Source organism: Homo sapiens, chromosome 15, assembly GCF_000001405.40.
Source record: "Homo sapiens chromosome 15, GRCh38.p14 Primary Assembly".
In the NCBI taxonomy this organism is placed as follows: Eukaryota; Metazoa; Chordata; class Mammalia; order Primates; family Hominidae; genus Homo; species Homo sapiens.
In genome coordinates, this window is record NC_000015.10 from 52,306,704 (window position 1) to 52,323,740 (window position 17,037).

Genomic DNA, 17,037 nt, shown 5'->3' on the forward strand with positions numbered 1-17,037 from the left:
ATGCGGTGCATTGTTGACCCAAAATGTTATGTGGTACATGATGATATTAATTTCTCCTTATCATAAATAAAGATGAGACTAATTCCACCACAGATCTGAATAACTGCTCTGTTTCCTTACCCAAAAAAGCACATCTGCATACTTCTTTGATCTATGTCTTATGCCAAAAAATGTCTACTGTCCCACTATATTAAAAGTAGAACTTTTGACACAAATGACACCCTCAATCTTTTGAAAATCTAAGTAGATTATGCATATCAAATTTCCCTTGGTTATGTCTATTTCTCTGTCAGAGAATTCCAATATATTTAGGCATGACTTTCCCTTGAAGAAAAGACACTACCTCTTCTTCAGCTGTTTCTGTTTGCTTAAGTGTTTGGCAGTTCTCTTCTTTATCATATATATTACTAGGGTGTCCAGTATAGGAGGGGAACTCGTCAACTTTTAAATTTCCAAGACTTCTTAGAATATTCTCATGGGGAGGGATTATATTTACATTCACTAGTCTTCAGGAAAACAACTTGTTTTGTTGTTTTAAAATGTGCAGTGGATTTGCTTATAAGACACTGACAAAAACTCTTTATATCCATATCTTTATTTAAACAAGTTTCCATAATAGCTAGGAGAATACAGCATTAATGACACACATTTACTAAGCACAACAATGGACAACTACAAATTTAGAGCATAAATGTAATTCTGATATTGTTTTGGTTTTTATCTTAGCACTAGGTGATATCTAGTGAAAACCCATGTTTCAAAGGCTTTTGTTGATATGAGATGAATTATTAACTTATTTTTAAAAATTGCACGTGAGATATGCTAGAATGGGTTCTAGAGTCTAGAGTTAGTTGATAATGCCTTTCATGTCTCAGTATTTCTGCTTCCTTTTTAATGGGTAAATGTTTCACCTAAGAACTTTCAAAAAATTGTATCAAAATTTTCTATGCAGATCAAAGTAGAATTCCTTTTCCAGACCCAACAAGGAAAAATATTTGAAAACTGCAATGTTCAATTCCATTTTAGTTAAAAGGATGTCCATTTCATAGTAAATTAATACAGTTAATAATTAAAATACAATATGTTAAATGGCATGAACTCATTTTTGCGCAACACTGTTAGCGCAATTTAAATCTCCCAAAGACACAAAAAAGTCAATTTTACTGCAGGATCCCACAAAAATACATAACCAGGAATCATAAATTACAACATATATATCCACATTTAAAGAAAAAATTCACCATTTGTTGGGAAAAAATAATGGCTCAAATGATTTACGGAGCCTGAAATGTGGGCTAAAATTTTATAACATGATAACAATAAGATTTGAAACTGCTGACTCTGAAAAATGCATAAAAATATACTAACCTGCCAAGCACTGAATTATATATACCAGTTTCAACTAAAAAACAACATTTTTTCTTTCAAATATTTCAAGCATTACAATACTGAGGAAACGTTAGTCATATGAATCCAATAACGCCCATTAAGTTAAGCTAACGAACATTTTAGATAGACCAAATTACAAATAAAAAAAGTATAAAAAGCATTTTGGAAGATATTTTACATAGTATTTTTCAGTTCCTCATCTATTGAGAAATCTACTATAATTCAGGTTGGTTTATCTAATTTAGGGTAATACAACAGATTTGAACTTATAGCACGCTTTCCTGTTTTTACTCAACCTTTTATAGTACAGGGTTCTTAAAAAATTTTGAAAAGAATGTCCACAAAAAGTTTGAGTTATACCCTTTACCTTTAGTAACAAAAGGTTAGTAGAAAGCAAGACATTTAAGTATTACCAAGAATCTAACTTATCTCCATAATTTCTTTCATATATTCATTTGCTTACTTGTGACACAGAGTCCCACTAACTCAGAAGCATTCTCTAAGCTGGCCTCTCACTGGCTCTGAGACTGTTGCTGCCCCACAGTTCTAATTCCCATTTGGAAAGGAAAGAGGAAGTACAGGAGAAGGAGGGTCATGCAGGGCCACATCCAGTCAAAACTCTCACAAAACCTTGAGAAACAGGGCAAGATATCCCTTCCAGGCAAGATATCCTTTACAGAAGAAAAGTTCTGGAGAACTTAAGGCAGCTCTAGAAGGGAAGGGAGCAAGGGTTAAGGCGGCCCTCACAGCACAGCCTGAGAACAAATTACAATGCACTCATCCATGAACAGAGGTCACGGCAATACAGATCCTCTTCAACGCGCATGCACACGACACCCCTCCTAGCACCCATCAACACCTACGGCATGCACACACTGCAGTGCCCACGCACACACTGACTTGTATATGGCCTGCCCAGTGACAGCCCTCGGAAGGCACCCAGTGACTTGGGCTCCCCTGTGCTGAGGACCTAAACTGGGAAGGTGGCCTATAGCTGCAGGCCTGTCCAGGCTGCACAGCTCACCTGGTGGCTCCAATAAAGACTCTGATGGGTGTGGGGAGAGTAACTTTCCTCTTAATTTCAGAGAGGCTTTTGCTGTTTCCTGTCTTTTTGGTTGAGACAACCTGCTACCAATTAATGCCCAAACAGAGTATTGCATCCTCCCAGAGAGCACTGATTCATGACAGAAGTCAAGCTGAGTTATAGCAAGTAACTATGACAAAAAAGAAAACCACCTGGCGCTGAGCACTTGGTCTCCTTAAAACAAGTAACTTGGTACGCAGCACTTGCTCGGTTCCCACATGCCAGCTGCCAACTCTGATAAAAAAGCACCCCTTGCTGGCCAGGGGCATTCCACACGTACCAGGAGGGGCAGCACGTGACCTCACGACATTTTTAAAGTCTCCTGCATCACAGGTGCCCACACCACCACTGCTCCATATGGGAAAGCAGGACAGCCAGAGGGCTGTGCGACATCAGGCAAGTCACTGCCCCTATCTCTATTCCCAAGCTATCATCAGAAATGATTGTAGAAGCGACCCCACCTACCGTCCATGCTGCTGTGAGGATGAAACGAGGTAACAGAGGAAAGCGCCGCAGGAAAGCATATCTGGACCCAGGTACTGTTTCTGCATTACTTTCAACAGGATGCACTAGTTTTGGCTCTGTTTTATCACTAAGCAGCTGACATTACCCAGAGGATCCTTGACTATGCCTGCTAAGGAACTCTATGAATTAGTGACGGGGGTGTGTGTGTGTGTATGTGTGTGTGTGTGTGTGTAAGAGAGAAAGGGCATTGTGTGAGGACTTCTCAGGATGGTGGCAGGTGCCCATTTTCCTAGGGTTACCATGAAAGTTATTTCTCACAACAATCACTGCACTGAAATTATAATAATATAGTATTTTCATAGCCTCCCCTAACATGTAGCTGTAACCTTAGTAAAAGATTTGATCTATATTACACATAATTACTCACCCAGAAAGAGCCAACTATGAGCTATCCATGGAAATGAAGAAATAACACAGCAAATTCTCCAAACTGACAATAATCCCCAAATTCCCTATCAGTTGGCTTCGGAATATGTTTTTGTGCTTCTGCACCTGACAAAAGAAGCATCAGATATGTGGAAATTTTTTAAACTTCCAAAGGAATTAGAAGCTACACTTTGTGGATTTTATCCCATATTTATCTTCCCTCCTTTTAGAGTTACTCTCAGGCAGATCAAAGCCTTAACCTGAGGAAAAGCTGCAAAAAGGGAAATTACTTTTAAATTTTCAGCTTCAAGTTGTAAGGGTGTGAGGTGAGTCTGCATGTAGTAAGGTGAATGGGGAGGGGATTATTAAGATAAAGAACTGTTGTGACTTTTAAGATCTCTTCCTTTGAATTCCCATTGTGTGTCACAGAGGAATTAAGAAAAAGTTGATGACTGATCTTCTGAAGGAATGCATGCAGAGAAGTAAGAACAACAAGGACTGTGCAAAGATTGGGCTGATGGTAAGCACCAGGAAGGCCAGCAGGGGCAACTGAGGACTGACTCCATCCACCTGCCTTCAGTGCACAGTCAAACAGCAGGCAACGGGATAGACGATTAAGTTGAGGGAAGGGGAAGAGTGAATGAGTAGGGGAAAGGCTGGCAGGGTGTGTCTGAAGTTGGGTGAGAAAGTGTGGCTGACAGAGAGAAAGAACCTCAGAGGGAAAGCAATCCTCAAACTGGCCCAAAGATCCCCATAGTCGGCAGAATCTTCTTGTACCTTCAAGAAAATGGTATACAGAATCATTTACTGGGCCTTGGGGTTCCCTGGTTACAAGGTATTCTTGTCAATGACTAAAAATCTCCAGGCCACCAAGAGAGGTTAATTCAGACCCCCATCTGGAGCTCTGGGTAGACCTGGGAGGAAGCTGGAGCCCTGGAATAGCAGAACCTTTGTGCCACCATCGCTGAACAGGAGAAACCACCAAGGGCAGCTGTAGGAGCTCTGGCTCCAGCACTTGACAGGACAAAGACAGGAGATGGGAGAGAAGGGCTCAGACCACAGCCTTTCTTTCATGACGCTTCAGTACATGAGCTGTCCGGAGTAAAAAAAAGGGCTGCATGGCAGTGACAGCTACAGCATGACCTGGAAGACCTGAGAAGATTCAGGGTGCACGTTGAGTCGTGCTACACAGGATGAAGCTGGGGGAGGTCTGGGAGATTTCCAGGGCTGAGGCGGACAGCCTGTACCACGTTGCATTTTCTTAGCAACTCCCCAACTTACAGCCTATCGGATGCTGTTAGATTCTGACACATTTGGTACGAACCAAATGGCTATGACTTAATTGTGCATTGAAAACCGCATTGACAACCAGGAAAAACTGGGAGAATTTGATGCAATTGGTAGTGTTTCTGGTTGATACTGCAAATAAATAAATAAATGTATTCAAACTGAATAAAGCAATACATGATGTAATAAAAATTACTTAAACTAATTATAATACAAATATAGTAGGACCTTCTAAAAGCATGTACATAAATCATGTACATTTAAGAAAGGTTACAGCTACACAAACTTGTGATTTTACATTTGATTAATCCTAAGGAATTGACAGGCACTACACACTGGTCTTTCCATCAGAGAATGGACTTACTGAGTAACTGCAGCTTTTTCTCTCTAGAATCTAAGGGCTGAGAAGAGAGAATTTTAAATGTGGAGGAGATGTTAAGAATCAGTGTCCAACTCTCTTATTTTATAAACGAGGAACTTGAGGCCCATGTAAATTAACAGACAGTATTTATCTTTTAATAACAATCTTTATCACTGATATGAAGCTGTTTGACTTCCATAAATATTGCACATATTTTAATAAGATTTATAGACCATCTAACAGTTAAATTTATATAACCTATGATTGTAATTCAGAACCAGAGTTTCTAATGAAAACTAATAATTTGCTTTTGTGCAACCTGAAGGATTTATTGTATAAGATTCCTAAGAAAAATGGTGAATATGTTTAACTAGAATTTCAGAATGAAAACTTACAGAATCTGGGTCTTAATGAACCAAATCCTCTGTAAAATTCAACAATCTTCTATTTCTTATATAAGTCTTCTTAAAGTATTTCTAATATGATGCTTTTAAAATTATCTAGTGGCATCTGAGAACACTTATAGAAGCTGCAAAGCCTTAAAAACTGAATCATAATGAAATATTTATTATATACCTTCTTTTGCATAATCAAAGTTTCAAGACCTGAATCGTGAATATTCTGACAATCCTCTCTAGATAGTGAGTGAGATTCTTTTTTTTTCCAAGGCAGTGTCTCTCTCTGTCACCCAGGCTGGAGTGCAGTGGTTCGATCTCATTGCAATCTCCGCCTCCCAGGTTTAATCGATTCTCGTGCCTCAGCCTCCCGAGTAGCTGGGATTACAGGCAAGTGCCACCACGCCCGGCTAATTTTTGTATTTTTAGTAGAGACAGGGTTTCGCCATGTTGGCCAGGCTGGTCTCCAACTCCTAACCTGAAGTGATCCGCCCACCTTGGCTTCCCAAAGTGCTGGGATTACAGGCGTGAGCCACCGCGCCCAGCCGAGATTAATTCTTAATAAATTAAGAAGAGAGAAAACCTGTCAAGGTTGAAAATATGCACTGAAGGAATCAGATCTGGTAGTTAAAAATAAGTCACTTCACAGAACACTGTACCCTGACGCAATATCCACCCAGGGAAAATTAATGAGCACATCAATGTAATACATCCTGAATAAATAATGACATCAACAATAGCCACTTTGTCTAATCCTACCCCTAAATGTCAAGCATTTTGTCATATTACTACATGACTTTCCAGTGTCTGCTACTTGTGCAGGTGAATCTGTAGGTATTTGCATATAATCCAGTTAAAACTGTGATCTGATTGAATTGTAAACAGAATTGACAAGAGAAACTTATTGTAGTGCCTAATATCACTTACATTTTAAGAAGACAGTATGTAGCAGCAATTTAAAATGCTCAGTAAACTATAGTACAAATGGACATCTATACTATTTAGCAAACCAACATTCCTTTAATATCTCTATATCATAGTGACACAAATGAGGAATTACTTTACATATTGCCAGTTTATTTCTTTGAACCAGTTTAACAATATCAACATAATTGATTACTAAACTGACATGATATGTACTCAATGGAGACTTTTCTTTCCATTCTCCTGTTTAGTGCAGAGGAGGTTCTTTGGTGCCTTCCTAACAACAGCTCATCTATGGAAGTTATACTTTTTATACCATTCAAACTCAGTGCTAAGGATTTAAAATAAATGCTGCCAGCTGAAGACACATTTTTCTCCTCCTTTCCTTCCTCCCTTCCTTCCATCATTCTCCTGTATGTAAACTCACGGTACCTAGTTGGTTAAGGATGAGTGTTGCTATAAAGATAACACAGCACGAAAGAGCCTATCTTTGTTTCCAAAGTGATGAAAGTATTCTAGGGAGATTTCCAGTTAATGACTTCTCATTTGGGAGATAATCAGTACTTTCTCTTTAAAAATGTATTTTCAGTAACTCACTGGAAATAATGGGTTCTTATTTCGGGCAAGAAATGTATTGTCAATTTTTGCCTGGACATCACTTTCAGACCCGTGAAATGAAGCCCAGGCCGAGGCTGGCTGGAATCTGGATGGTTTCTAGTGCGAGGGAAGATGGGTTGAAAGGAAAGGTGACAGGAAAGATGTGTTTAGCATCCATGAGCAGCTGGGGAGAGTCTTTCCTGTCTCGTAAACGCATCTGAGAAGATTAGGAAAAAAAATAAACAGAGCATCAGTTCTTTGAATCTAAAAGACTTTTTTCTACTAAAATTTCTACCCTCAAATTCTCAACTAATGAAGAATGTTTACTTTTGTTTTAAACTCACTTCATTTTCCCAATTAACTATTATCAAAAAAGTTAGTGCATTGTAAAATAAGATAATAAAAGATAACACATTATCCTTCAATAAATTACAAAATGTCCATTCAAAAGACTGTGTTGGTGAATCAAAGAAGAAGATGGGAGCTCTTACCTGTATAGTACGAATGAACGACACAGAGACTCTTTCTTCAAACTCATTAACTGGAGTATACAAATTCAACACTTTCACAATCTGTGAGAAATGAAATGATCAAAGTTTTTGGCATATTATCAAATACACACTGGGTACCTATAATCTGGAAAATTAAAAGGATCTGTGCGTACAGATTTCAGTTCTACTCAGGGGTGGGCTGGGACCAGAAGGAAGGAGGAGCTGGTCTGCACATTTACCTTTATCTGAATTTTTACAAGAGAATGTATCAATGTAATGTTTGTGTAATATTGTAAGAAGCTGTGTAAATTTCGAAGATATTCAAATAGCACAAGAGAATAAAACATGAAAAATAAATGTCCGCACTTCCATCCTTCCAGTCTCCCAAAGTGGCAATTGTTAACCATGTCCTGAACACCCCCTCTAGCTGCTATAAATATTCTAGTTCATTTTATTTTTATACAAATGGGATTCATTCTATTAATACTATTCTGCAACTTTTCTCCATATAAAAATGTTAGCCGTATTAATACAATTATCTCTTTTGAATGTTTTTTAAATCATATTTTTATAAAAGATCATAAATAACATGAATAACAAAAGCCCCTAAAGAAATTAATCAATTAGAGAGTATGAAGTTCTTTTTTAAAAAGTTCAATAATTTTTTTTTGTAAAATGGTCATGTCTCTTTTCTAATGAAAATAAATCATCGTCTATATAAGGTAGATATTTCCATTTTCAAGGTATTGTCTAAACCTGTGCTGTCCAATACAACAGTAGTAGTCACTAGCCACATGTGGCTATTAACACAAAATGAAAATAAAAGTTGAATGCAGGACAGTGCTGATCTATAGGAAAATAAATTAAGCACCAGAGAACTAGAAAGTGGGCATGTTGTTATCAGGTCTGTGGGTGACAAACTGAATTAGGGATCAGTCTCTCGGAGGCAAGTATTTGAATTTTAAAAAGTGGGACCACTTTGTTAACTAATATTTGCTAAATAAATAAACTGCAGGTCTGCCTCACTCTGTGAAATATGCTTAAAGTATATTTAAGTATTAAAGTATATTCTTTAGAAGTTGAATGGCAGCCAACTTCTATAAAGTTGGGCTTCCTCCAGGGTATTCTTACTTTCCACACTTGCAGAAACTGGGAGGAAATCTCAGGACCATTGTTCTGTCAGATAGTTCTGCTTTATTCTTAGTAAGAAGTTATGCAAACATGAATTCAACATTAAGAAGCTGCAAGTCTTGATTCTGATTGTCTACTGATTGACTTTTTTTTTTTTTGAGATGAAGTCTCTGTGCAGTGGCACAATCTTGGCTCACTGCCACTTCTGCCTCCCAGGTTCAAGTCATTCTCCTGCCTCAGCCTCCCAAGTAGCTGGGATTACAGGCACCCGCCACAATGCCTGGCTAATTTTTGTATTTTTGTAGAGATGGGGTTTCACCATGTTGGCCTGGCTGGTCTTGAACTCCTGACCTCAGGTGATCTGTCTGCCTCAGCCTCCCAAAGTGCTGGGATTACAGGTGTGAGCCAGCACGCCTGGCCTACTGATTTTTTCTGTTGCCCAGGCTGGAGTGCAGTGGTGCAATCTTGGCTCACTGCAACCTCCGTCTCCCAGGTTCCAGCAATTCTCCTGCCTCAGCCTCCAGAGTAGCTGGGATTACAGGTGCCTGCCACCATGCCCGGCTAATTTTTGTATTTTTAGTAGAGATGGGGTTTCACCATGTTGGTCAGGCTGGTCTCAAACTGATTGAGTTTTAATTGTATTGGGCAAAACTGAAAATTTCATATGTTGTAGGATATATGATGAACATTAAGAAAGTTGGCTGGGCACTGTGGCTCACGCCTGTAATCCCAACACTTTGGGAGGCTGAGGCGGGTGGATCATGAGGTCAGGAGATCGAGACCATCCTGGTTAACATGGTGAAACCCCATCTTTACTAAAAATACAAAAAATTAGCCAGGCGTGGTGGCAGGTGCCTGTAGTCCCAGCTACTCCAGAGGCTGAGGCAGGAGAATGGCGTGAACCTGGGAGGGGGAGCTTGCAGTGAGTGGAGATCATACCACTGCACTCCAACCTGGGCGACACAGCGAGACTCCGTCACAAAAAAAAAAAAAAAAAAAAAAAAAGAAAGAAAGTCTAAGAGTCAGCACAGAAAATAACCGGGCAAAAGAAAATTGGGCATGTTCATGCCTGTGCCTTGCTTCATGCTGTCACTATAATCCTCAAATGCCCTTCTCATTCTTCCACTTCCTTAAATTCAATGCCCAGATTAATGGGACCTTCCCTGAATACTGCTATCTTCCCTCAGTACTTCCTTTAGGCATCTTACTACAGAATTTGCTAGAACCTCTACGGTAGAGTCAGTTGGATACGACTCTGTCTTCCCTACTGAACTGTAAGCTCCTTGAAGGCAGGAATTTTTCCTTATTTATTGAAGCATCTTCCCCAGCAATAAATATGGTGCCTTGAGATGGAGGCTTAATTAATCATCTGTTGAAGTAACAAGAATTATCTGTCTCTAAAAACAAAGTCACTATTTGATAATCCACTCAATTATCAAATAAGATAGAAAGCTATTTTATGGAATATAAGCTGCATAGACTGTATACTCCATGAGAGCAGAGACTTTGTTTTGCCTATGGGTGTATCCCAGTGCCTTCAATGTTATATAGAACACTGTAAGTACTCAATAAATATTTGCTGAATATTAAATATATTTATACTGTAATTAGCACTGAAATGTATTAATTTCTGGCAAAATCTCCTTGCTTTAAGATTGGTAGAGGCATATATCTTCTTGAACACAGATGAAGTCAGCTCAGAGATACAAGCAATAAGTAGAGGACTTCTTTACTTCCCTAAAGATCATCTTTGATGAATGTTAAATTATTTTGTAACAGGGAAAGTTGCTCTACCTGGGCAGTAGTTAAAGCATTGCACATAGAACAAATGGCTTCTGCATCATCATCTGTTTTCTTTTTCACTTGCAAAAGTTGAGCAGCCTGAATGAGAGGTTCCAGGGTTTCTTTAGCCCCACTATTCATCAGATTCTTGTCACGCAGCCATTCTTCCAGTTGACTGACATTGTACCTATGAAAAAAAAGAGATACAGAGAATGCAAATTTGCTGAATTTTGTCAAAAATGTCTTAATTTTTTTGTGTGCGGCCTTGTCAGGATTTATGTTAAAATGACAGGCAGTATTTTTGTTCAATTTTCTTAAATCTCATCAGCTGTGCTTAAAAATTTATTATAGTCATGAGGATTATAATCACCATTATATAAGACTAAATGACAAGATAATGTAATTCTCTTTAATGGAAGATGGAAATGAAGTCATTATGGCAAAAGTTATTAGACTTGCTAATAAACAAAATAGAATAACATAATGTAGCTCTGTCTTTATTGGGGAGCTGGCCAGAAAACACTTTGTAGCTTCTCTTACAATTTCAGAGCTGGGTTGCTGTTGCAGGGTGAGACTTGATAATCCTTGAAGCACTCTCTCTTAAGGCAAACTCCAAATCAGGTAACTGAATAACCAAAAGCCCCACATATACCTGTGCTGAAGCCTTAAGGGAAGAGCCTAGGAGATGAAGATGGTGGCCTGAGAAAGCTCCGGGATGAAAGGAGAGAGAGGCAAGGGAGGGCCACTGGAAGAGACAAAGACTCCAAATGGTGACAGAGACAAACTACAAAGACATTGTAGGTTTCACAAAATAGCCAACCAAGTGGCAGCAGTCCTAAGACTGAGGTCAATAGACACACAATCAGCACTTAGCAACCAGGCAAATAGGGGCCAGCATAATATTGCGACAGGTGGCTCCACATTTCCATGCAGAGCTTATAGAGAAATATGCTCCACTATCTGAGAGGAAGGCATTATTGTCTTAAAATTCACTACACTTCAATGTAAGTCAGGATGGAAAATTTGAAAAGAACACTAACAGTTCCTGAGATTGAGTAACTACTAAGACTTTGATAGGAGAAATCATTTTTCCCTCCTCTTGGTGAATATTCTAGCTGTTTTAAAATAAAAAATTTGTGGCCCAGCACGGTGGCTCACACCTGTAATCCCAGCATTTTGGGAGGCCGAGACAGGTGGATCACCTGAGGTCAGGAGTTTGAGACCATCCTGGCCAACATGGTGAAACCCTGTCTCTACAAAAAATACAAAAATTAGCTGGGTGTGGTGGTGCATGCCTGTAATCCCAGCTACTTGGGAGGCTGAGGCAGGAGAATTGCTTCAACCCAGGAGGCAGAGGTTGCAGTGAGCCGAGATGGCGCCATTGCACTCCAGCCTGGGCAACAAGAGCAAAACTCCATCTCAAAAAAAAAAAAAAAAAAAAAAATTTGCAAAAAAATTATGTTACAATAATGAGGTTATGCTGAGGAGTATTGGGCATAAAATTAAGTGCAGCTTTTCTTAAAATATAGAGGGGGGATATTTTAAGAATTAGTAAAAGATCTATCAGACCTGTTCTTGTTGCCATAGGTACAAAAAGGTATTTTTCCAAAAATATATTTCTAAGAGCAATCAAACATTAGAAATCTTCATTATTATAATTTAATAATTTCTTATTGTATAATTAAAACACACACATAAGGAGAGGAAGCAGCTATCTCATCTTTGTGTATTTTTGCATCATCTCTTCACTCCCCCAAATAAGCAAGCTTCACAGTGGAAAAGGGTTTCCTATCAAGAATGTGAAGAACCTGTTGGCAGGGTACAGACAGGGAGCAATAATGAGATGTGGTGAAATCCAGCCAGGCAAGGGAAAGTGGCTCCGTGCCAGTTTCTCCCTTGCTGCTTGGCCACATGGCACCAGACATGAGATGCAAGAACTGAAAACAAGTCATCAGCTCTCCACAACCCTGGCAGGCCAGCTGGGCAGCAAAAAGACACTGTCGCAGGTGTTGGCATTTGCTCACCTGATCTGCATGCCTTTACTCCAGGAGCACATGTCCTTCCGCAGGAGAAGGTTGTTCAGGGTGATGGCCCCTATGATGTAGAACATCTGCTTGACCACCTGCTTGATCAGTTCAGGGTCCATGCCATGCTGACACATGACCGAGTGGAAGGAGTTGAGCTGCCGGAGGATGGAGTCCAGTGTGTAGGTGCCCTCATCGGCGATACTGGAGGTTCGCTTTCTCAACCCTGTGGGCTTCACCCCAGACACGCCCTGAATCGTTTCATGTTCCAGCATGCCTGAGACTGCAGGAGTATTTCAATTGTTAGAGGAGATGATGTGGAAGGGAACCTTTCATGTGCACATATCCATGTGCACAAACACATGCACATTCAACTTAGGAAAATTAGCTGGGCACGGTGGCTCACATCTGTAATCCCAGCACTTTGGGAGGCCGCCGAGGTGGGTGGATCACTGGAGGCCAGGAGTTCAAGACCAGCCTGGCCAACATAAGGAAACCCCGTCTCTATTGAAAATACAAAAATTAGCCAGGCGTGGTAGCGTGTGCCTGTAATCCCAGCTACTCAGAAGGCTGAGGCAGGACAATCACTTGAACTTGGGAGGCAAAGGCTGCAGTGAGCTGAGACCACATATCTGGGCTCCAGGCTGGGTGACAGAGAGAGACTCCATTTCAAAAAAGAAAAAAATGATCTGGGTGCCAAAATAGAGGGAAAAGGAACTTCACTACAAAAGGGCTTCCGGATTTTAAACTTTACTGAAGGAATAATTCTTAATTGCAAAAATTTACTATGAATCTAAGTAAACTTAATGGTGTCTTTTCTAAAATAAGAAGCGTTAAGAAGCAGTAGCCTTGTGATAGAACAAGTGTGTGTGTCTTGGGTGGGCTTTTGAGAGTGGTAGGTAGCAGTTCGGGTTAAGATAAGCATTCTCCATGTTATCTGAGCCCCAGAGGCAAAAACAGTAAGAAAAGCAGGGCACTGACAACCATCTTGGAGAAAACGTGGGAGAGGGGAGTGGTATGGGTCTGGAGAGCTGGGCCCTTCCTTATTCTGGGTTTCCCACAACAGCAGTGGGCCCTTGGGCTGACCTCCATCTCCCAGAATTCGTCTTCTCACCTGTGGCCCGGCTGCTTCCCTGTTGTGCTCTCTTAGCATTTGGCTTATGCCTCCCTTAGAATGTTTCTGAGATGTCCACTCCCTGACAGCAAGCCCCTTGAGAGCAAAGGCCACGTCTGGTTCATCTTGCTATTTAATTGTGCTAAACACAGATTCCCTAGAACCGGCATGTTTGTTGTTGCTGTTAAATGACTGGGAGATGGGGGTAAGGATTTAGATTGGGGCTTCTTTGAGGCGAACTTCTTATTCAGCCAATAGAAACAGGCAAAGCAATAGAAAAACTGGCTGAAGTTGACCTTGGTATCTGTGTTACCTCCTAAATTTTTGCCAACCTAGGGTGCTTTAATGACGTTTTAAGGGACATCTGAAGAAAACATTGCCATCTCCCATGGCTTCTTCAGCTTTTGATGTCTCAAATAGCTAGTTAACTGTGGCCTATGAAAGCAAAGGGAACACTATGAGCCCACAGAAGGGAAATGAAGAAGTTGTGGAAACATGGAAAATGCATGCATGGGGAAAGAAAGTGTAGCTGGAAGTAGCCTTAAGAGCCTGCTGATAGGCTGGGTGCAGGGGCTCACACCTGTAATCCCAGCACTTTGGGAGGCCGAGGTGAGTGGCTCACAAGGTCAGGAGATTGAGACCATCCTGGCTAACACGGTGAAACCCCGTCTCTACTAAAAATGCAAAAAATTAACTGGGCGTGGTGGCAGGCACCTGTAGTCCCAGCTACACGGGAGGCTGAGGCAGGAGAATGGCGTGAACCCGGGAGGCAGAGCTTGCAGTGAGCTGAGATCGCGCCACTGCACTCCAGCCTGGGCGACAGAGCGAGACTCTGTCTCAAAAAAAAAAAAAAGGGAGCCTGCTGATAATTTGCTGGAAGATAACAATGTTTGGTAACTTAAGACAATTTTTTAAAATTCAATGCATTCAACTGAATTTAAACAGTAAACATTAGGGAAGGAAACCATATACTACTGTTTCAGTCTTGTGGAAACAGTGATTTCGATGTATCCCAGTTAACTATGGCTGGGTTTCTGGGATTCCTCGGCTAATTTTAGCCCTGTATCTTACTACTTTATGCTCCCCAAATGAATACCTGCCCTGAAACATGTGCCACTGGTGGCTACTTATCGATGGGCATGAATGATAGGCAGGCTGCAATGCCCAGTGGGGCCCTGGCCTTACCAATCATTGGCTGAAGGATGTTCTCTAACACCCGCACGAGCTGCTGGTAGATCTGAATGGCCAAGTCACTCAGCACCTGCCGATACTCAGCCAGGTCAAAATTGGTGAGGCAGTGTTCATTCTGGCGAGATGTGTTGTGCTTCATAAAGCCCTAGAGTCATAAGGCAAAGTTAATGATACACATGAAGTAACCTGTCTCTTCAGTTTAACTATCTCCAATTTGATCAGCATCTTCATGCTCTTTTCTGCTCTGTCCAAGGAGCTTCCCCACTAATGCCAGGACTGACATTCTCAAATGCTGATGTGTGTTTGTTTGCTTCCATCATAACCCCCTCCAGTTCTTACTAGCTTTTGAACAATACCTTAACTTGGCAACCTAGCATTTAAGTCTTCCCAATAGCAATGTCAATGAAGCAAATTGGAGGAACTTAACTAAAAAAAAAAAAAAAAAAAAAAAATAGAGTGTTTCACTTCTGAAACAGCAGGTTTACTGTCAAACACTAAATTATCTAAATTATCTCTTAACTTCAGTTCTTTATAGTCCTATTCTTAAAAACTACACCCAAAGGACATATATAATCTTGAAATAGACCGATTTCTACAGAGACTAGTGAATACATACAAAAAGTTCTCTTTACTCTATTTCGTAGTACCCACACCATGGTTTTCAGTCAGAGGTTAGAAGGGAATCTTTGGTGGTATCTGTTAAAATGGAACTGAATGGGCGGCACTTCTTCCAGTCACTTTGCAGTTTAACACGTTGTTTGCCTGATGCTACGTGATAAAGGCAAGTGCTTACTCTGAGGATTCTCCCTACAGCCAAGCATCTGCCTCCTTACCACCTACTTAATGACTGGTCCGAAAGTGGGGACTGATAGGATGCAGTCAACGACCCCTCTGAGGGATTCTGGTCTGTTGGCCCCATCTTCTCAGGGACTAGGCCTTGCTCATCTCTGTGTTTCCCATCATCTGCCTGTCAGTGCTCAGGAAGTGCCGCTGGGCACCTTCTCTGCTGCCCTCCTGGCAAAGGGATGGGAGGCATGGAGGGCAGTTGGCTAGGGTCATGGGCCCTCAGCGGTGCCAGACCCAGGATCCCAGCTCTGCTCCTTGTGGCCAAGAGAACTTGGGTAAATCAATGAGCCCCAGTGAGCCTTGGCTTCCTCATCTGTAAAACTGGACTATAATTCCTACCTCACAGAGATGCTGTAAGAATTAATGATCATAAATAACACCATATACAGTAAGTGCTGTCTGACACATACTAAAGCAGCCCTTAATAGTCATTATTAATATTCTACATAGTTTTGAAATATTTGAAGTCTATCAAACAACTAATGAACATATCCCCACAAACAAAAACAATAGAGTTTTTTTGGACAAATCGAAAGACATGATTTTTGATCACCCTTTTTTTTTTTAGAGTTAAAGGATTTTAAGGTCCTCTTATTGTCCAAGAGTATTAATATTAAAATTTTCTTTTTTTTTTTTAAACTTTAAGTTTTAGGGTACATGTGCACAATGTGCAGGTTAGTTACATATGCATACATGTGCCATGTTGGTGTGCTGCATCCATTAACTCATCATTTAACATTAGGTATATCTCCCAATGCCATCCCTCCCCCCGATTTTTGATCACCTTTTAATGTATTGTGGCAAGCCAAAATTGATTAATTTCTTTAAATAGTTCACTATTCTGATATTAGCTCTTGAAATGCCCACTAAAACATACTGACAAAAAGTTTTACTTCTGGTAACTATTCACTGACCAATGCTTATTTTATTTTTCTCTATGCTTTCTCACAATGTAAAGAAGAAACTGTCATTCTCCAAATCACTGCTTCATAGATAGTGAACATCAAACAAAGCAAGAACTTCCAAGCCACCTCTGAATTTGGGTTCCTAAATAAATGGTTAAACATTTTGTGCTTTTACATTTTTTCCTTAAAAAGGTCAGAGAAAGTATAGCATGCTGGTTTTGTAATCAAGGTTTTCTCACCTCTTCTCCACTGTACTGTTTCAAGCAGTGCAAAAATCGGCATGTGTTAGAGAGCCAGAAGGAGACGGTTTCAAAATCATCACCTCTTTTCTGAAAGAGAGAATAAGTCTAAACTTGCCTTTTCCTTAGGGAAATAACAACCTAAAAAAAATTGAACAGATACCAAAAGACCCATTTCTTTCAGTTACCATTATAAACAATTATAAAAATAAATCACATTACAGTTGTGAAGTCTTATGTCATTGCTAGCAGAATGTCAGCGACCAGGTTCATCAGTTTGTTGCTTTGCTTGCCATTCACTTTTTTGGCATAGAAAATTAAACTGATGCGAATTTAGCTGCTCCTTTAAGCAGAAAAAAATTCACCCGGCTGGGCGCGGTGGCTCA

At 40.3% G+C, this 17,037-nt stretch overlaps 1 protein-coding gene across 12 annotated transcripts in view; it reads right to left on the reverse strand.

Moving 5' to 3' along the window:
* The window catches only part of MYO5A (myosin VA), a 221,768-nt gene continuing 205,310 nt past the window's right edge, over window positions 580-17,037 (reverse strand). For all 12 annotated transcript variants that reach the window (XM_047432544.1, XM_047432543.1, XM_047432540.1 and 9 more), the window contains 6 exon segments: window positions 16,652-16,741; window positions 14,656-14,806; window positions 12,357-12,639; window positions 10,345-10,519; window positions 7,420-7,500; window positions 580-7,145 (listed from right to left, as the gene is read on the reverse strand). In XM_047432544.1, coding sequence (XP_047288500.1) covers window positions 6,993-7,145; window positions 7,420-7,500; window positions 10,345-10,519; window positions 12,357-12,639; window positions 14,656-14,806; window positions 16,652-16,741 — 933 coding nt within the window. In that variant the 3' untranslated portion in view covers window positions 580-6,992.